General features: G+C 37.4%; 1 protein-coding gene across 18 annotated transcripts in view; it reads left to right on the top strand.

Annotated features, from left to right (window-relative positions):
- Positions 1-21,625, top strand: part of YAF2 (YY1 associated factor 2) — an 81,145-nt gene that overhangs the window by 26,324 nt on the left and 33,196 nt on the right. For 3 of the 18 annotated variants that reach the window (NR_135140.2, XR_944467.4, XR_001748537.2), the window contains 2 exons: positions 1,245-1,377; positions 1,471-1,570. The exons of 3 other annotated variants lie outside the window; for them this stretch is intronic. Coding sequence is in view for 8 of the 15 variants with exons in the window: in XM_017018670.3 (XP_016874159.1) it covers positions 1,245-1,377; positions 1,471-1,507 (170 nt within the window). In the remaining 7 variants the exon portion in view is untranslated. Of the gene's footprint in view, positions 1-1,244; positions 1,378-1,470; positions 1,576-12,689; positions 12,790-21,625 lie in introns of those variants that run through there. 12 more of the 18 variants (XM_011537728.4, XM_047428048.1, XM_006719185.4 and 9 more) reach the window with 8 other exon arrangements.

The raw sequence follows: 21,625 nt of genomic DNA, 5'->3' as shown, positions 1-21,625 counted from the left end.
GGCACCTGCCACTACACCCGGCTAATTTTTGTATTTTTAGTAGAGACGGGGTTTCACTATGTTAGTGAGGCTGGTCTAGAATTCCTAACCTCAGCTAATCCGCCCACCTCGGCCTCCCAAAGTGCTGGAATCACAGGTGCAAGCCACCGTGCCTGGCTGACTTTTTTTTTTTTTTTTTTTTTGGACAGAGTCTCCCTCTGTTGCCCAGGCTGGAGTGCAATGGCACGACTTGGCTCATTGCGACCTCCACCTCCCGAGTTCAAGCAATTCTTCTGCCTCAGCCTCCCTAATAGCTGGGATTACAGGCGCATGCCACCACACCTGGCTACTTTTTGTATTTTTAGTAGAGATGGGGTTATGGGGTTTTACCATGTTGGTCAGGCTGGTCTTGAACTCCCAACCTCAGGTGATCCACCTGCCTTGGCCTCCAAAAGTGTTGGGATTACAGGCGTGAGCCACTGTGCCTGGATGACTTTTTTTTTTTTTTTTTTTTTTTTGGAGACAGAGTCTCGCTCTGTCATCCAGGCTGGAGTTCAGTGGCACGATCTCCGCTCACTGCAACCTCTGCTTCCCAGGTTCAAGCAGTTCTCGTGCCTCAGCCACCCGAGTAGCTGGGATTACAGTCATGCACCACCATGTCCATCTAATTTTTGTATTTTCAGTAGAGACGAGGTTTTGCCATATTGGCCAGGTTGGTCTCGAACTCCTGATCTCAGGTGATCTGCTTGCCTCAGCCTCCCAAAGTGCTGGGATTACAGGCGTGAGCCACCACGCCTGGCCTGGTTAAAGACTTGAGTGATAAAATGAGAATTGTATTGATGCATTTTATCTGAATTCTAACATATTATTAGTCCACTATGGTGGCTTCTATACCAAAATCTAGTGAATGTTAATGACAATGGCTAGTTAAGAAATGATAGATTTTGATCAACTAATTATTCTTGTACTAATATAAAATATAATGATATTGTTTCAGCAAAATGAAATAGCCTGGTGGCTGATATTTTTGTATATTAAAATATAGCAGCCATTATAGTAGACTTTTTAAAATGAAACCATTCTAATGATTTCCTTATGTTTCTGATAATGTGAGAAGTTTCCACTGACATTATATTTAGCAAATTGTTTCCATATTTACTTTGATACGTGTATATATAGTTATCTAGTGAATTTATGCTTTCTTCTGTAGTTCTACGTGTGATAATAATCTCAAATAAAATGAAATAATCTTCTTATTCTGATAGAGAAGAAAAAGCTGGATCACTTACCAGTAACTGGAGTTCTCCTATTGGGTAATCTCCACAGATCCACATTGTTTGAAGTTATTGTGAGTGCCTCGAGGACCAAGGAACCGTTGAAATTTCCAATTTCAGGAAGGTAAGCAAGTGCACTGAAGCATGTCTCTAGCATCTCCCAAATCCCCTCCCCCAAACTTTCTTACATATACGTCTGTACTGCATGCCCCCTCAGTTCCAGTGGATGCCCATCAGGAAGATTCTCATGCTGAACAGAAGGGCAAGAGAGGTGGATCTGTGAGGGAAAAGACCCAATAGGATAACTCAAGTTACTGGTAAGTAATCTAGTTTTCACAAACCTGAGATTTTTTTTCCCCCCAAATTTTGTCCCTTGAGAAGGAGTTTGTTTAATTGAAAAGAAAGGAAGTTACTTGGGATAGCTTCTTTTTGTACATTTGATATGGATTATGGAAATTATTGTGTGGACAGTAAATACTGAGCTATTAATGGGTGTATGAGTAAAAAGTATGACATTAATTTTAAAGTATCTTATTTACGTAATAGCTGCTTCTAAAAAATTATACATTTAGTTGGCCGGGCTTGCTGACTCACACTTGTAATCCCAGTACTTTTGGAGGCCAAGGCGGGTGGATCACCTGAGGTCGGGAGTTCGAGAACAGCCTGACCAACATGGAGAAACCCTGTCTCTACGAAAAATAGAAAATTAGCCGGGCATGGTGGTGCATGCTTGTAATCCCAGCTATTCGGGAGGCTGAGGCAGGAGAATCGCTTGAACCCAGGAGGCAGAGGTTGCGGTGAGCTGAGATTGTGCCATTGCACTCCAACCTGGGCAACAAGAGCGAAACTCTGTCTCAAAAAACAAAAAATTATGCATTTACTGGCTTTGGTAAATGGTTTAGTTGTTCTAAAGCAATATAGGGAAGCCAAATGTTGAATTCTTGTGTACATTTCTTTATGATGTTGCTTTTTTGAAGTAAATACTTATATTGTAAAATTTATGCAGATGTCATATTTGGTGAATTTCTTTTGGCACAGTAGTACTGACCAGCAAGGATAGTTTTATATTAATTGTCTAGCACTTTTTTTTTTTTTTTTTTTTTTTTTTGAGACAAAGTCTGGCTCTATCGCCCAGGCTAGAGTGCAGTGGTGTGATCTTGGCCTACTGCAACTTCTGCCTCCTGGGCACAAGCCATCCTCCCACTTCAGCCTCCTGAGTAGCTGGGACTACAGTTGCACACCACCATGCTTGACTAATTTTTTTATTTTTTATAGAGATGGGGTTTTGCCATGTTGCCCAGGCTGATCTCGAACTCATGAACTCAAATGATCTGCCCACCTTGGCCTCCCTAAGTGTTGGGATTACAGGTGTGAGCCACTGCTCCTGGCCTGACTAGCACTTTTTTTTTTTTTTCCTAGCACTTCTTAATGACAGTTTTCAATGTATCTTGAACTTCATTGAAAGTATATTTGAAAAATAATATAGGATATGTTGCAAGTCTATTTACCGCTTCCTTGTTTGTAATGAAAATACTTGATGTGAATTGTGACAGAATTGGTTCAGTTTGAGCTGCCTGATTTCCTCAGGTACCAAATAACTTATTGAATTGATATTTGTAAATGTTACTATATAGTTTCTTGCTTCTCATTTCTCTCCCACTCATTTTGTATTATTACTAGGTTCTATTTCTAAAAAGGCATTTTAAATATAAAGAGCTCGTAGTGGTGTCCTGCTTATAGCTGTTTTACAAAACTTTCATCCGTTTGCTGGATACTTGAGGCCTCCTGCTATCCAATTCCATTCTGTTTATCTAGCCTTAATTTCTTCAGTTTGAAACTTTTGTTTGTTCTTACCTGCATAGTTATATTTACACTTGGTTTGTGGTTTCTCACTTTCTTCAGATAGCCTTTTCTGCATTCTGATTTCTGTACTTTAGAGTTGAGGCAAGTCTTACCCCTTTTATCAGTCCTTTTATGCTAGTATATTTGTTATCTTCAGTTCTTCAGTAGAAAAGTGGGATGTCTGTAAGACTATTAATTCATGGAATTTATTTAATACAGTACCTTAGCAGCACCCAGTTAATACCCTTATTGGCTAGTGTTTGGCTATAGATTGATCTTAACCATTTTTGTGGTTATAGTTAGCTGAATGATACAGTTTAGCCCTTAAATATTAGCTTTAGGTTGTATTGCTATTTTTAAATTTTAATTTAATTTAATTTAATTTTTATTTTTTAAAATAAAGTGAGACAGAGTCTCACTCGATCGCCCAGGCTAGAGTGCAGTGGCATGATATCCGTTCACTGCAACCTCCGCCTCCCAGGTTCAAGCAATTCCCTTGCCTCAGCCTCCCAAGTAGCTGGGATTACAAGCATCTGCCACCAGGCCTGGCTAGCTTTTTTGTATATTTAGTAGAGACAGGATTTCACCATGTTAGCCAGGTTTTGAACTTCTGACCTCAAGTGATCTGCCCGCCTCGGCCTCCCAAAGTGTTAGGATTACAGGCATGAGCCATGGCGCCTGGCCATATTGCTATTTTTTAAAAATATACAGCTCTTTTTAAAAAATTTATTATTTTATTTTTTACACAGGTATGTTGTGTAATAAAAATATGCAACTCTTAAACTGGGTTTTTAGGTTCTTTGAGAGCAAGCATAGGATTTTATGGTTTATATTACCTAGTTCCTAACATCAGTGACTGAGATTAAATCATCCCCACTGAAATATTAGCTTTTCATATAGATTTATGAATAAACTTACCAGTTTTTTGTTTGTCTTTTTGAGACAGAGTCTCGCTCTGTCGCCCAGGCTGGAGTGCAGTGGCACGATCTCGGCTCACTGCAAGCTCTGCCTCCTGGGTTCACGCCATTCTCCTGCCTCAGCCTCCCAAGTAGCTGGGACTACAGGCGCCCGCCACGACGCCCGGCTAATTTTTGTATTTTTAGTAGAGACGGGGTTTCACCGTGTTAGCCAGGATGGTCTTGATCGCCTGACCTTGTGATCTGCCCGCCTCGGCCTCCCAAAGTGCTGGGATTACAGGCATGAGCCACCGTGCCCAGCCTACACTTACCAGTTTTTTAATGTATAAAGCAGTTTCATTTGGCTCATCAATCTTATTTGTACCATATTTTTTTCTTAAAAACAATTTTTCCCTTTAAAAGCTGGTATAGTGAAATTCTAATTATTTAGTATAATATTATTAATAATTTATCTTGTGGCATATAAAAAGAGTATATAGTTTTGAGAGTATAGAGTAGCTTCACTTAAAGATTTAGTGTTAGAAAACAAAGTGGAAATACAGTATCCTTGATTTTTGCAGTTTGAATATCTTAGAAGATTATTGCTTTCTTTTCAGAAATGAAGGAAGGAAATGCTCTTTGACAGATTGTCTCTTCTAAATAATCATCAGAAAGCAGTTTGTCCAATCATTAGACAAGCCAAGATAAAGAGCATTTAGTCAGATGACTTAAATACTAGTTTTGAATCTACTGCTGCATGTCTTTGTACGATTCTGTTCAATCTCATAGTTTCTTTGGTGTGAATGATATGGTCGTTATATTGAGAGTGCTTTTATTCTTTGGAGAAATATATTGAAATATTCCAAGTGAAGTATCATGTTGGGCTCAGGAGTGGGTTCAGAAAAAAAAGTGTGTGGATATTTGGGTGTGGTGTGTGCAAGTATATGGAGAGAGAGAGAAAAAAGGTAAAGCAAACGTTGTAAATGTTAACAATTTTGAATCTGGGTAGAAGGTATATGGGTCATTGTACTTTCAACTTTTCTATGGCTTTGAAATTTTAAAAAAAGATGAGGAGAAAGTGTTTTAAAGAGAACTTTATTGTGCTTCAATTTCTCCAATTCTAAAATGGGAATAATAGAACTTTTCATGCCTTGAAGCAGGTAGGCACAGTGGGATAACATTTGGCAGAATAGCAGCCAAGAGAATTCCTAAAAAGTGATTTTTTTTTTGTCATTAAAGAAGTGATTTATAATGGAGAACTTTTCAAAGAACAGTTTGTCTAAGGTGATTTAGCTTAAAATTTCAGTTACTTTTTTTTTTTTTTTAATATGGAGTCTTACTCTGTCTCCCAGGCTGGAGTGCAGTGGCGCTATCTCGGCTCACTTCAACCTCCACCCCCTGGGTTCAAGCGATTCTCCAGCCTCAGCCTCACGAGTAGCTAGGTCTACAGGTGTGCACCACCGCGTCCACTTAATTTTTGTATTTTTAGTAGAAATGGGGTTTTGCCATGTTGGCCAAGCTGGTCTCGAACTCCTGACCTCAGGTGATCTGCCCGCCTCAGCCTCCCAAGGTGCTGGGATTACAGGCGTGAGCCACTGCGCCCAGCCAGACGTCACTTTTTTTTTTTTTTTTTTTTAACTAAGAGCATATTGCATTATAATTGAACAAGAACAGTTACTTCAGAAACAATAAATATTTATGTAAAATAACCAATTAAAATCTTGAAAAATATAGCTTGTAATAAAATAACTCAATAAATGGGTAAAATAGAAGATATGACACAGCTAAAGAGAGAAGTTACTGATTTGAAGAAAGAAATGAGTACTCCTCCGGACAAGCACAGAGAAATGCAGAAAAATGAAGAGGTGAAAAATATGGAAGAAAAGATGACACTTAGAGGATAGATTGAGCAGTTCCAATATAGGTCTAATTGGAGTTTTAGAAGAGAGCATACACAGAGGAGTGGAGAAGCAATATTAAAGGAAAAATGATTAAGAATTTTCAAGAATTAAAAAAATGGAAATTACAAAATAATTAGAACTAAATCACAACAAAAGTGTTGTATCAAAATTTGAGGGATGCACAAAAATGGTACTTGGGGATAAATTTATAATCTTTAATGAATGTATTAGATTGAAAGATTGAAAATAAATGAGCCAGCTCTTCAATTTAAAAAACTAAAAAAAGAGTAGAGCCAAAGGAAGAAGAGGAAATAATAAAAATGAAAACAGAATTTGGTGAACTAGAAAATAATCAGCAATGACCGGGCACGGTGGCTCACGTCTGTAATCCCAGCACTTTGGGAGGCCGAGGCGGGTGGATCATGAGGTCAGGAGTTCAAGACCAGCCTGGCCAAGATGGTGAAAGCCTGTCTCTACTAAAAATACAAAAATTAGCCAGGCATGATGGCAGGCACTTGTAATCTCAGCTACTCAGGAGGCTGAGGCAGAGAATTGCTTGAACACAGGAGGTGGAGGTTGCAGTGAGCTGAGATTGTGCCACTGCACTCCAGCCTGGGTGACAGAGCGAGACTCCGTCTCAAAAAAAAAAAAAAAGAGAAGAAGCAGCAGCAAGAAAAACAATGTCGTGATCAGTCAAAGCTGGTTGTTTGCAGTTGATTCCGGAAATACCCAAGAAAAATAGATGAGACTGATAGTCAAATTTAAAAAAGAGGTATAAGTACAACTATAATGGTGATTTTTAAAATTATAAGAAATCGCTAATAATTTATATGTATATAAATTTTAAAAATGAGTTTTATTTTCTAGTGAATTTTTTTTTCAAATTTGTCTATACAAGAAAAAGAAACCAAAAACCATTAAAGAAATTGAAGCTGTAATAAATTTCCCCAAGAGGAATAGGTGGTTTTTTTTTTTTTAATAACAACTTTATTGAGATATTCACATACCATATTATTTACCTGGTTAAAATGTACAATTCAGTAGGTTTTAGTATTTTTACAGAGTTTTGCCAAGAATTACTATAGTCATTTTTAGAACATTTTCATCTCTCCTAACCCTCTATCCTTAGGCATCTACTAATCTTCCTTTTATTTCTGTAGATTGGCCTGTTCTGGACAGTTCATAAAATGGAATTATACAACATGTGTTTTGGGAGGGATTGATTTCTTTCACTTAGCATGTGTTTAAGGTTTATCCGCATTGTAGCATATGTCAGTACACTTCATTCTTTTTTATAGCCAAATAATAATACATCATCGTATGTGGATATACCACATTTTGTTTATTCATTTATCAGTTGATGGATGTTTGTATTGTTTTGCACTTTTTGATTATTATGAATAGTCTTCTGTGAACTATTATAGTCCTGTGTTGTTTGCAGGACTTCCCTCAGATGCTTAAGCCTCTGACATAAAAATGCCACAGTATTTGCATATAACCTATGCATATTCTCCCATATGCATTACATGATCTCTAGATTACTTTTAATATCTAATATAACCCAAGTGCTATGTAAATAGTTGTTATATTGTATTGCTTAGAGAATAATGACAAGGGAAAAAAGTCTGTACATAGTAGAGGCACAACTTTTCCCCCCACATATTTTCAATCTGCAATTGGTTGAATCTATGGATGCAGAACCCATGGATATGGAGCGCTGACTATATATACCTAGGAGTGAAATTGCTGGGTCGTGTGATACTTCGTGTTTAAACTTTTGGGGAACTGCAAGACTTTTTTCCAAAGTGGCTGCATCATTTTATTTTCCCACCAGCAGTGTACAAAGGTTCACACTTTTCTGTAATGTCACCAATGCTTTTCATTATCTTTTTAATTATTGCCTTTCTAGTTTGTGTGAAGTGGTGTCAGAAGGGATAGATTTTTTTTTGTTTGGTTGGTTTTTTTAGAGATGGGGTCTTGCTGTGCTGTTGAGGCTGTAGTGCAGTGCAGTGGCTATTCACAGGCATGATCATAGTGTACTGCAGCTTCAAACTGGCCTCAAGCAATTTCCCTCCTCAGCATCTCAAGTATGAAGGAATAGTTTTAATGGTGATATTTGTAATTATAATTTTAGATATGCTTTTGCGGAACAGCTAATCCCAATCTTATGCAAATTGACTCAGAGAACAGAAAAAGAGGGAAAGTTACCCTACCTGTTTATCAGGCAAGTTTAGCATTTAAATCTAGAATGGAAAGACTATACAAGGGAAAATATATTACATTCAGTCTTACTTATGAACACAGACATAAAAATTTTAATTGGGATAGGAGTTTAGGACAGTTCAATATTTGAAAATTGTATCAATTTATAAGAAAATTTAGGAAAAAATCTAGATAAATTTAGTAAAACTATATGTTAAAACTCAATACCCATTAAAGTTTTAAAAAACCACTCTTACACTATGAACAGAAATGAGCTTTTTTTTTCTTACAGTAAAGGCTACCTTTCAAATAGAAAGCATCATGCTTAATAGTGAAACTTTGGAAACATTCTCATTAAAGCCAAGGGTAAGACAGATATATCTCTATCAATACGCAAAAAAGAAAGAAAATCCAAAAGGATTGGAAAGGAACAGAAATGAGATGAGATGCTCCCTAGAAATATTAAAAGAAATGAAAGTACTGTTTGTATTAATAAAATAATTCAGCGTTGCTGGATACAAGGTCAGCATTCAAACTAGCAATAGCCAATTAGAAAATAAAAAGTATCTCCTTTATATGAAATTCAATATAGTACCCAACATTTTATTGAAGGACATAAAATTAGACATGAATAAAAGGCAGGATATACTATATTTTTGGGTGGGAAGTTAAAATTTATTTAGTAATAAATATTACTGAAAAGTTACTTTGTGAATTTTATGTAGTTTCAGACAAAAATCCCAGTAGGATTTTTTTTTTTTTTTGTGGAAAATGACCTTCCTGTGCAAAATTAAAGGTTCAAGAATAACCAAGATAGTTTTGGAAGAAGAAAAAGAATGAGGAGGAACTTGCTCTGTTGGATGTCAAGATGAATTTAAAAATTATGGTATTTAGCCCCGGGCATGGTGGCTCATGCCTGTAATCTCAGCACTTTGAGAGGCGGAGGCGGGTGAATCACCTTAGGTCAGGAGTTCAAGACCAGCTTGGCCAACATGGTGAAACCCCATCTCTACTAAAAACAAAAATTAGCTGGGCATGGTGGCATGTGCCTGTAATCCCAGCTACTTGGGAGGCTGAGGTGGGAGAATTGCTTGAACCTGGGAGGCGGAGGTTGCAGTGAGCCGAGATCATGCCATTGCACTCCAACCTGGGAGACAAGAACGACACTCCATCTCAAAAAATAGAAATAAAAGTTATGCTATTTAGATTGAAATACTATATACAATGACAAAGAACAAACTGTTATGCATAACATGGGATGACTCTCTCCCAGACTTAATGTTGAATGAAATTAGTGAGACACAAGGATTACGTATTGTATGATTTCATTTATAGCAAGCTCAAAAACAAGTAGAAATAATCTATAGTGATAGAGATGAGAATTGTGGTCATCTTGGAAGCATGGTACTGATTGGTAAGGATCGTGAGGGAGCCTCCTGGAGCATGAGGAATGTTAATAGTTTGGCTTGAGCTGGATCACACACAGGAGTATATGTATTTAAAGGTCAAGCTGTACATTCAGTATTTGTATGCTTTATGTAAGTACCTCTGTTAAAAAAATTATGGCACTTGAAGTATAGTATTAGTACAGGAAAAGACAAACTAATAGAGAGTTCAGAAATGGATTCATACATATTTGGAACATTGGTGAAGGCTAGAAATGGCATTCCTTGGCGGGAGGGAGAGAAAAAGTAGACTGTCGAATTGGTTTTCTAGATGGGGGGGGAAACTAGATCTCTGCTTCAAGCAATACGTGAAAATAAATTCCAGTTGAATTAAATAATACACGTGAAAAACTTTTTTAAAAAGAGGATAGTATAGATGAGTATGCAACTTTAGGATATGGAAGATCTTTAACAAGTCAGGAAAAGAAGAATGAACCATCAAGGTTAAAGACATCAAGGGTAAATGATTTTGTTGCCTCAAAAAGGAAAACTTGAGTTTAATAAAAGACATCAGGCTGGGTGTGGTAACTCATACCTGTAATGCCATCAATCTGGGGAGACCAAGGCAGATGGTTCACTTGAGGTCAGGAGTGCAAGACCAGCCTGATCAACATGGTGAAACCCTGTCTCTACAAAAAATACAAAAATTAGCCAGGCGTGGTGGCACATGCTTGTAGTCCCAGCTACTCAGAAACCTGAGGTACTAGAATTGCTTGAATCCAGGAGGTGGAGGTTGCAGTGAGCCAAGATTGTGCCACTGCCCTCCAGCCTGGGCTCAACAACAACAACAGCAACAGCAACAAAAAAGACATTATAAACCAAACTAAAAGATATGCGACATACCTAGGAGGAGACACACACAATGTCTTTAATATTCGGTGGATTTGTGTCCAGACTATATAAAGATCAAAAGAATAAGATGATACACATAAAATGAACAATGGATATAAAGGCAATTAGCAGCAGAGGAAATGGAATTGGAATGGCTAATGAACTGAAAAGATGCTTAGTCTCATTTGTAGGGAAGTGCAGTTGAAAACGTACGAGCTATCAATTTTCACCCATTAGATTGCAAAGCTTAGGATGGGATGTTACTCATACAGTTGAAAATGTGCATACTCTGTTATCTAGCAGTTGATTACTATTCAAGGTATTAGTCTAGAGAAACTTGAACAGTTGCCCAAGGAGGAATGTACATGGATATTCATTTGGAAAAAATAATCTAAATGCCTGTCAGTAGGAAGGCATGGATAAATAAGATATAGAATAGTTATACAATGGAGAATTACCTACATCTATATTTAGGCTATTATCATTAATTAGTATTTATTTCAACTTAAGAAACTCCTTGTACTTTCTGTGTCTAGGTTCTGTATTGTTTTAAGCCCTTTATGAATCTTAACTGTTGTAATCCTCATGAAAAGTCAGAAAGAGGTACTATCATTATCTTCATTTTGCGTATGGGAATACTGAAATATAGAGGGGTAAATAACCTACTCACTCTCATAGCTAGTAAATAGCAGAGCCAAGATTTGAAGTTAGGATTTGAACCTAAGTTGTCTGGCTTCAGAGTCCACTATACCATGCTACCTTTTGATGTGTATGAATATTGAGATACCTCATAAATATAAGGAAAAGTTCATTTCAGAATGATGTGTACAATGTGATCTAATTTACCCACACTTATGATAGTGGTTGCCTCTGGATGTCATTGCAAGGTGAGGGAGATACACTGATGATGGTGAAAGGAAACTAGCTTTATGGAACTGTATGCTTTTCCTTAAAGGAGATGTATATTGCTGTATAGCTTTTAAAATACTTATATGGAATATAGGTATGTGCTTATTTTTGCAAAAAGAAGCACTGGAAAGATTGACCTTTGTTGTTTTAATCTTCATTTATTCTTGATACTGGTGTATAGTAGAAAAAGAGATTGGCTTGGTTCTGATGTAGTGGAGCAGCAGATAAGCACTAGGTGCTAGGGATAAGAAGGTGAATAGTTTTCAGCCTCTCTCTTTAAGGAGTTCAGCTTTACAGATAAAGAGACAAGGAAAATAATTTTGATTCAGTTGATACATGCAAATCTGTTTTCTTCCTTGTTTCTCTATCCTTGTCACTTTCCCTCCAAATACAAATAGGAGAAGGAGGAAATGTCTTGATTTGGAGCACGGGAAGCAGGCAGTGAAATACTGATGAAGATCCCACTTCTATTATTTTACGAAACTACCAGAGTGTAAACTCTGTAATGGTCAGATGTTATAGCTTCTTCACTATTTTGTCTCCAAAATTTAGTGTAATGCCTTTTGCTTAGTAAACTCCTAGAGATGTTTGAATGCATAACTGATGCACTTTCAGATGTCACTCTCAAATTAAAGCATCTTAACCCAAAAGTTCTCCTTAAACTATTTGAGATGTCTTCCATTGATTCCATTGGTTGTCAGGCACTAAGGTAATTTGACTGAGAACACTGTATAACCTTGAATTGTTATGTGCCAAAGAACTCTGACTTGAGTAATGTTTTAATCTGTAGGAAATGTTGGGTCCCAAAAATCTATTTTATTTTTAACTGTGCTGAGTCTAATACTTTTTTTTTTAAGCTAATAGTCTTTTAATATTAGAATAGTACAGTTGGTTTTCTCAGTCAGTATTACCGTATTCTGTGTCTTTGGTTAGTGCTAGCTTGTGAAACTGTTATGTTCTGTATTTTGAAATTCTTAATTCCCTAAAACCACATTTTCTTCAAGTTTCCTGTTAGGACCATAGACTGTTTCTGGATGGTATTAGTGTTTATAATGTGAGAATTCCAGTGCCTTTTGAAATCTGTTATGGTACTGCATAAAAAGTAATGGTACTATTTCATTTCATCCTAGTGAGAAAGGTGTGTGGATTTTTTGGTGGTAAATTGGAGTCCCATGTATGTGTGATCCTCCCAACAGAGTGAATTTAAATATCTAAAGATTACTGAGAAAGGATAAAGTTGAATAAATCATAGTGAACAATGTTTATGTCACTTTTTAAAGTTTTAACACTTGTAATTGAGTAAATCCTGAAACAAAGTATATTATTATGTTTGATGGATTTAAACTATTGGTCAAATTCTGTTCCATGTGTACATAGTGTTTCTTTCTTACTCTGTAACCCTTTTGCCAGAGATAACAGGAAGAGAGCCTGGTTACCATTTGGTGGAACAATCCTGCTGGCTCAAGCCTCTGCCTAGAAATTTGGGTCATTCTCTTTTTTGGACAGTCTGGTAAGCTGTCACTGTTTTTCACCTTAAAATCATCTTGTTGAAGATGTACCCAAGAGGAAATTAATACTAAAGGAACAAACAATATTAAATTCAACAAAAATGTTAAAATAGTCACATGAAATTAAACACAGCTAGTTTAGAATTGCACTGTAAAGTCTTTTTTTCATATGAAGTATTCAAAATCAGGGTATATTTTACATTTACAGCACATCTTAACTTGAACTAGCCACATTTAAGTGCTCAGTACCCACATGTAGTTGCTGTATTGAACAGCACAGACTTAGAGCATTTGAGAAAACTTTGGTGTTATGTAATTCTGCTGTTACTCTTCAATAAAGGCACCTCAGATGTCTTTTCTTCTTTTATTGCTTCACTTGTTCGTGGGCTCTTATCTTAACTATTAATCAATTGTAGTCTGAAACCCCGCTCTCCATTTCGGAATTTTACAGAGCATTTAGGGCTTTCCATAAGTGTTCCCTGATACCTAGATCTACTTAATTTCTTTAGATAAAATGTGATGTTTCATTCTGATAAACTTTTGTTTTGTTTTGAAACAGGGTCTCGCTGTATTGCCCAGGCTGGAGTGCAGTGGTACGATCTCAGCTCACTGCAACCTGCGCTTCTTGGGCTCAAGCAATTCTTGCACCTCAGCCTCCCAGGTAGCTGGGATTACAGGTGTCAGCCATCAACACTTGGCCAATTTTTGTATTTTTTTGTAGAGACAGAGTTTCACCATGTTGCTCAGGCTGGTCTCAAACTCCTGAGCTCAAAGTGATCCACCTGCCTCAGCCTTCCAAAGTGCTGGGATTATAGGCATGAGCCACTGTGCCTGGCTTCATTCTGATAAGTTTTTAATCAGAATATCAGCTCTGATAAAAAGCAGATCCTCTATGAGGGCTAGAGTAGGTAGGATTATAATTATCATCATCTCCCTAAGGAAAGGCCACTAACTTCTCCTTTTTTGCTTTAAAGTCATTACTCTGAACCAGAAAGATTCCTTACATGATGACTTTTTTTTTTATAAGGTGAGGCCCAACATTTCACTCTATGGGGATTGGATATGCTTTCCCTAGATACTAATTGCTTAGAGGTTTTCAAATTAACTGATTTTTTTTTAACTTTTTTTCCTAGTAGATACTATTTGAGAGTGAACATATTGCAAAGTAGAACCATATCTAGTTTGGTATACCAAGGTATAACATATGTGACTTAATATTTTGATAGTCTGTTGCTTTCATCTGTCCTAGATGAGGGACAGTTTAGAAGATTATTTTCAGTAATTGAGTTTATAACTTCTAATACTAGTTATCCATGTATCCCAATAGCAGCCAAATTTTCTATAATTTATTTCAAATCCTCTCAGACTTTACTCTTGTAAGGTAAGATTATTTGGAGTCTGATTATATAAATGTTAAGATTGTGAGGTTTTTCGGGTTACATGTTTTCTTATGTTGATTATTGTTTAATTTCTACACCCATTCTGAGTGTCTAGTTTTTCTCAGCCTACCTCTTTGTTACACCACCTCTATTCCAGCGGAATCTCACATGCAATTTTAGTTCTTCCCAACCCTGTTATCTGGGCATACATATTATTATTGGGCATTTCCCTACGTAGTTAGTGCAGCGTTTAGCTGTTACTTACCCCTGAGAATATAGTGTGGAATTAGCAGTGGCAGGATATGGAATTAGCAATAAAGTTCCTGGCTTGGAGTTGAAGTGAAGCAAAGAATATTCTTCTTATTCTCCCATCCACTGTGATCACACATTCTATTTAACTTCATTGCCCCTAGCTAGGTGAAAGCTGATAGCTGCTAATTGTGGTCACTGGGGTGTTGGACAAATTTTTGAGTTAGAGGAGGGTTCATAGCCAAAGGAAGAACACCAGTCTAGAAAGAACACTGGGCAGCACGTGGCAGCAGTGACTGCTAACAAGCTAACAACTTGCTAAACAGCAGGCTGGGGTTAGAGCAAAGGAGCACTGTAATAATTTTCTTACTTGTATTTTCTGCGCTCTAGTTTGTTCTATCTGTTGTCATGACACTAATTTTCGAAAAAATTCCCCTTTTAAGCTCATCACTAAACATTTACTGAGGACAATGAAATGTGAAGTACTTTCTGAGAAGTGAACAAAACAGACACTGCCTTCTCAGGTGGTGGTTACTTGATACCCTCCTTAAATCTTTAGTAACTCTCCATTCCTGTTTAAATCTTCACTGCCTTGAGGTCCCAGTCAGACTCATCAGCTTTGTCTTTGAGCTTCAGCAGGATCAAATGACTGGTGGTATCGGTTTGCTCATAGTCTTGTTTTGTTTAGACCCTTCAATGTTAGCCTGCACCATGTTTCAAAGAAATTTAATGGCTATCATTAAAAAATCAAGAGCTTTCACTTGGAATTTTGTATTTCCAACTTCTTTTTTAAAAAGAAAGATGTAGCAACACTTTGTTCATTGCAACAGTTTGCACCATTTAGTTGGGGCTTTTGCTTTCCACAGTCCTTGTTGCCTCTTGGGTTTTTCTTACCCCTGGTCCTCTTTATTCCTTTTTATTACTTATTTAGTCTCTGTAGATAATTCAACTTGCAACTCTTGTTCTAGATAATCTGGTCCCTCACTACTATAAACTTTATTTATTTTCTTTATTATGAAACTTCTGGTATAGCCAAAGGGACATCTTCTTTAACATGGTCCACACTTCTTAACATGGCTTGCAAATCGTTTCATGTACTGGTTCCTGTTTATTTCTTCAGCCTTACCTCTTTCCATTAACCTGTATAAAGTCATGTCCCAGCCATATTTGCCACCCACTTATAGGTGATGTGCTCTGTTCTTTCTGGCCTTTACACACACTCTAATCTCTGGATGCTGTTTTGCCTGTCCTCCCGCTCTTTTTTTTTTTTTTTTTTTTTTTTCCAGATGGATTCTTGCTCTGTCGCCCAGGCTGGAGTGCAGTGGCGTGATCTCGGCTCACCTTACTGCAACCTCCACCTCTTGGGCTCAAGCAGTTCTTCTGCTTCAGCCTCCTGAGTTGCTGGGATTACAGGCATGTGCCACCACACCCTGCTAATTTTTGTGTCTTTAGTAGAGATGGGGTTTCACCATGTTGGCCAGGCTGGTCTCCAACTCCTGACCTCAGGTGATCCACCCACCTCGGCCTCCCAAAGTGCTGGGATTACAGGTATGAGCCACTGTGCCTGGCCTGTCCTCCCATTCTCTGTCTCTGCCCCCGCAACTCCTGCCTTCCACTCTTCCCCACCACCAGTTTAGTTAATTTCTATTCATTTCAATTCTTAATTTAATCAGAAAGCCTTCTGTGCTCCCGTAGGATCTGCTTAGGTACCCATCCTCTGTATTTCCATAGCTGCCTGAATTTAACCCAGTCTCAACACACCATGACTGGTTCGATGGTCTATTCTCTACAGTGTTCTGTAGCCTTTTTGAGGGCAAAACTGTGTCTTCACCTTTGATTTCTAATGCCCATCATAAAATAGGTACATTGTAAATATTTATTGAGTGGATGACTCATTTCTCTAAGCTCTTTTAATAATCATTAATTCTGAGCCTATGTGGTTTCTATTTTACGGAATATTGTTTTCATCCTTTCAACTCTTGTTCATCCTCTAAGCTTGTACTAGGGGACTGTCCCTTACAAGATACTTTTTTCCCTGGCCTGTTTCAGTATCTACTTACCTTTTCCTTCTTTAAATTCTGGTAATACTTTTTAGAAATCTTGTTTTAGTATTTGGCATTTGTTTCCTGTATGTTACTTTAAATTGAAGTTATGTTTAATGCCACAATTTCATTCTTAAGATATTAAAATTTGTCCGTAACCTGTGCTTTACGTGATAGTATATTGCCAGCTAAAATAATATATCCATTGATTAGATCGATTCATGAGTCAAACCTTTATTACTTTCTTGGATATTGTTCCTCATTTACAGAGAACTTGGACATCTAGCCAGGAGTTTTTCTCTCTCTCTAGATTTCTTTATCCATTTTGGACTTCTCCCATAATAGTACTTAGTGGATGTACTTTAATTGCTTGTGTATGTTTCTTGTTTCTCACGCTGAACTGTAAGGGCTGAAACCGTATCTATCATATTAAAACTACCTGTTGGTATAATATTTTAACTAATATTGGAGTTTAGAAGATCTTGATGTACCATGTATACATGTTTGATGTATGTCTATAAAGTGTTGTCAGTAAGCTAGGCGTGATCATCTCATTTATTTACATGTGAACTATTAGAGAGTTACACAGCTTCATTTGTGTGTCTTCTAGACATCTCAAACTTATGCAAAATTGAACTTATGTATGTTTGCATGTTTTTACCAGAATGTATATTTCATGAGGGGATATTTCCATATACCTGTAATGTAGGGCCTGGACCATAGGTAGTATTTAGTAAATGTTTATTAAGTGAGTGAGTAACTGTACAACACCAAAAAATTTTTATGTTACTGATTTAGAATATTATAGGACATAATTAGATATATAAGAATGGCTTAGATTTATTTATTTATTTATTGTGCAGTGGCACAATCTCAGCTCACTGAAACCTCTGCTTCCTGGTTTCAGGTGATTCTCCTGCCTCCACCTCCTAAGTAGCTGGGATTACAGGCGCTTGCCACCACACCTGGCTGATTTTTGTTTTTTTAGTAGAGACGGGTTTTCACCGTGTTGGCCAGACTGGTCTCGAACTCCTGACCTCAGGTGATCTGCCTGTCTCAGCCTCCCGAACTGTTAGGATTACAGGCGTGAGCCATCCTGCCTGGCCGGCTTAGATTTATTTTACTTCACAACTTGTATCATAGAGCTTGCAAGGCTGGAGGTTGCTCTGGGTGAGTGAGTGAGTAGTGAATGAATGTGAAGGAAGGCCTAGGAAATTACTGTATGCCACTGTAGATTTTATAAACACTGTACACTTAGGCTACACTAAATTTATTTTAAAAATTTTATTTCTTCAGCAATAAGTTAACCTTAGCTTAATGTAATGTTTTTACTTTATGAGCTTAGTATTAATTTTTTTAATGTTTTCACTCTTTTGTAGTGACACTTAGCTTAAAATGCAAACTCATTATACAACAGTACAAAAATACAGGTATTTTCTTTCTTTATATCCTTATTCTGTGTGCTTTCTCCATTCAAAAATTTTTTTACTTTATTACTTTTTAAACTGTTTGTTAAAAATGAAGACACAGACACATACATTAGCCTAGGCATACAGAGTCAGGTCCATAAATATCACTGTCTTCTTCCTCTGCCTTGTCCCACTGGAAGGTCTTCAGGAGTAATAACATGCATGGAGCCGTCATCTGCTGTGATAACAATGGCTGGTCAGACATGGTGGCTCATGCCTGTAATCATAGCATTTTGGGAGGCCGATGCAGGCAGATCACTTGAGCCCAGGAGTTGGAAACCAGCCTGGGCAACAGGGCAAAACCCTGTCTCCACAAAAATACAAAAAAATTAGCTGGGTGTTCATGCATCTGTAGTCCTAGCTACTCAGGAGGCTGAGGTGGGAGGATCACTTGAGCCCAGGAGGTCAAGGCAGCTGCAGTGAACAATGATCACACCATTGGATTCTAGCCTGAGTGACAGAGTGAGATCCTGTCTCAACAAAAACCAAAAACAACAATGCCTTCAGGAATACCTCCTGAGGGCCTGCCTGAGGTTGCTTAAAGTTATAAATACAAGGAATACACTCTGAAATAGCAATAAAAAATATAGTAAATACATAAACTAGTAACAGTCATTTATTATCATTGTCAAGTTTTATGGACTATACGTAATTGCATGTGCTATTTTTTTTTTTTTTTTGAGAGGGAGTCTCATTTACTCTGTCGCCCAGGCTGGGGTGCAGCAGCGCAATCTCGGTTCACTGCAGCCTCCGCCTCCCCAGTTCAAGTGATTCGCCTGCCTCAGCCTCCCGAGTAGGTGGGATTACAGGCATGCACCACCACACCCGGCTAATTTTTGTATTTTTAGGAGAGACAGGGTTTCACCATGTTGGCCAGGCTGGTCTCAAACTCCTGGCCTCTAGTGATCTGCCCCCCCTCGGCCACCCAAAGTGCTGGGATTACAGGTGTGAGCCACCGTGCCCGGCCGGTAGGTGCTATACTTTTATATGACAGGCAGCACAATAGGTTTGTTTATATCAGCATCACTGCAAACACATGAGTACTATGTGATGTTATGACAGCTACTTCACTAGGTGATAAGTATTTGTCAGCTTCATTATCTTAGGGAACCAGTGTCACATATGTGGTTTGTTGTTGACCAAAATGTTGTTATGCGACGTGTGACTATATGCTTAAAAGTAACTTTGCAAAGAACTAGATGTAAACTATGTAACTCCAAAATTGGGTAGGGGAAGAGGAAAACTGATAGTACTACCTTGACCAAAATCTTTAAATCCATTCACTTCTATCTCTACCATTTGTCAGCTACCCTAAGCCACCATCTCTTTTCTGGGCTACTCTAATAGTGTGCTACTTAGTCTCTCCAATTCCATATGTGTTTTAAAAATTAAAATATAATGGAAGTCACTTAACATCCTTAAAAGTATTTCAAGATACTTATTGTACCTAGAATAAAATCCAGGTTGTGTTGTTTTGTTTTGTTTTGTTTGAGACAGGGTCTCACTGTGTTGCCCAGGCTAGAGTGCAGTGGCACGATCACAGCTCACTGCAGCCTTGACCTCCCAGGCTCAAGTGATCCTATCAACTCAGCCTCCTGAGTAGGTGGGTTCACAGGTGTGTGCCACCATGCCCAACTAATTTTTGTGTGTGTGTGTGGAGATGAGGTCTTGCTGTGTTGCCCAGGCTGGTCTTGATCTCCTGGGCTCAGGAGATCCTCCTGCCTCAGCTTCCCAAACTGTTGGGATTACAGGCATGTGCCACGATGCTCAGCCAAAATCTAGGTTCTTTAACATGGCTCATAAAGCCCTTCTTGGCCTGGTCTGCCTATCTCTCAAGTTTTATCTCATGTAATTTTTCTCCATATTCAATATTCTCCAGCCTTACTAAATTTCTTTCAGTTTCTATAACACTTTTTGTATTATTTAAATCTAATTGTATGTTTTGTTTTTTTTTTTTGAGATGGAGTCTTGCTCTGTTGCCCAGGCTGGAGTGCAGAGGCACGATCTTGGGTCACTGCAGCCTCCTCCTCCTGGGTTCAAGTGAGCACGTCTGGCTAATTTTTGTATTTTTAGTAGAGACAGGGTTTCACCATGTTGACCAGGCTGGTCTTGAACACTCCTGACCTCAAATGATCCTCCTACCTCAGCCTCCCAAACTGCTGGGATTACAGGCATGAGCCACTGTGCATGGCCAAATCTTTCTTGATTCTTATTCACCCCCACTCCTGTTAAAACCTCTCATGGTATTGGGCAGGGTGGGGAAAAATGAACACCACAGTTTGTAATTATATATATGTAGCTAATTTTTTTGTTACCCTTGTATTCCTAACACTAAGTGTGATGCTTGGCACATAGTAGGTGCTCAGTGTAAAATAAGTGTATAGCAAAAGAAGGAAAACAAGGAAAAATTCAGAGAAAACATGAAAACAAGACCAAACATGCTTGTTAAAAGTATAAAGGCCCCATGATATAGCTTAGCTATTAAGCAAGATTTACATTAGATTAAATACAAAGCCCACCTATGCACTTAGTGTTTAGAAACACACTAGAACAAAATTACTAGGGGGATTGGAAGTAAATGGATGGTCAAAACAAGATACTAGGCAAATATAAGCAAAAAAAAAGTCAGTGGATTCATATTATTAGAAAAAGTTGAATTAAAAGCAGTAGACATCAGGTGAGAAAAAGAGACACTGATAATCTAGGGTATAGTTTCTAATATAAAGAGGGCCACAGATCTTTACCTTTTAAAGATGAAGCACAAAAGTGTTTAGAGTGAAAACGATATAAATTCAGGGAAGAAGAGAGAGACAGTAATGGGAGTACTTTAAACATTAACAGCAATGGTAGACTTTAAAAACATTTTTCAGTCCTTGCTGCATCAAAGTGATAAAGAAATATGATATAAAGAATCTGAGTCATATAATTTGCCTGTCTGATATATAAGGCTGATGTAATAAATATATCATTCTGTTGTTGTAAAGAGAAAAAAATACTTTTAAATTCCCCTCAGAACATTTTTTAAAATAGGTTATATTTTTAAACATTGTTAAGTAGGTTACATTGTATTATAAAGAAAGCTGAAAAAAAAACTAAAAAGTAGAAATATTATTAACCACATACTCTACAATGAAATTTTAGGTTAATAACAAAAGGGAGAGCCAGAAACCAAACCTTTCCAAATCCCAAAACAAAAACCTCAATTACTTGAATTTAAAAATGTAAAATTATTGTCCCTGAAAAAAGAAAAAACTTAAGTCAAAGGTCTAAAGATACTGCAGACTGGCAACTGTAGTAGAAAATAATTACAATAAAAATGAAAGACATGAATAACATACAGGATACAAATAAAATTATTTCTAAGAATTTCATTACTAGAAAATGAAAACAAACACTCAACAAAAGAATTTAATACAAGAATAACAAAATAAACCTAAGGAAAGCTGGAAAAAGTAATTGGTGAAGATAAGGAATAGTAAATAATGGATTAGAAAACAGAAAAAATAGTTAAGTAAAACAGAACTTGTCCTTTAAAAGTAAGGCTAGCTAGCAATCTTTTTTTAACAAAGGGCAAAACTAGGATTATGAAAAAGAAGTAACTATAGATATAAACAGTATTAACAATTCTTTTTCATTTTATTGTTTATTTTTTTGAGACGGTTGCACTCACTCTGTTGCCCAGGGTGGAGTGCCATGGTG

Source organism: Homo sapiens, chromosome 12 (assembly GCF_000001405.40).
Source record: "Homo sapiens chromosome 12, GRCh38.p14 Primary Assembly".
Classification (NCBI taxonomy): Eukaryota; Metazoa; Chordata; class Mammalia; order Primates; family Hominidae; genus Homo; species Homo sapiens.
This window is presented reverse-complemented; position numbering and strand designations above follow the sequence as displayed.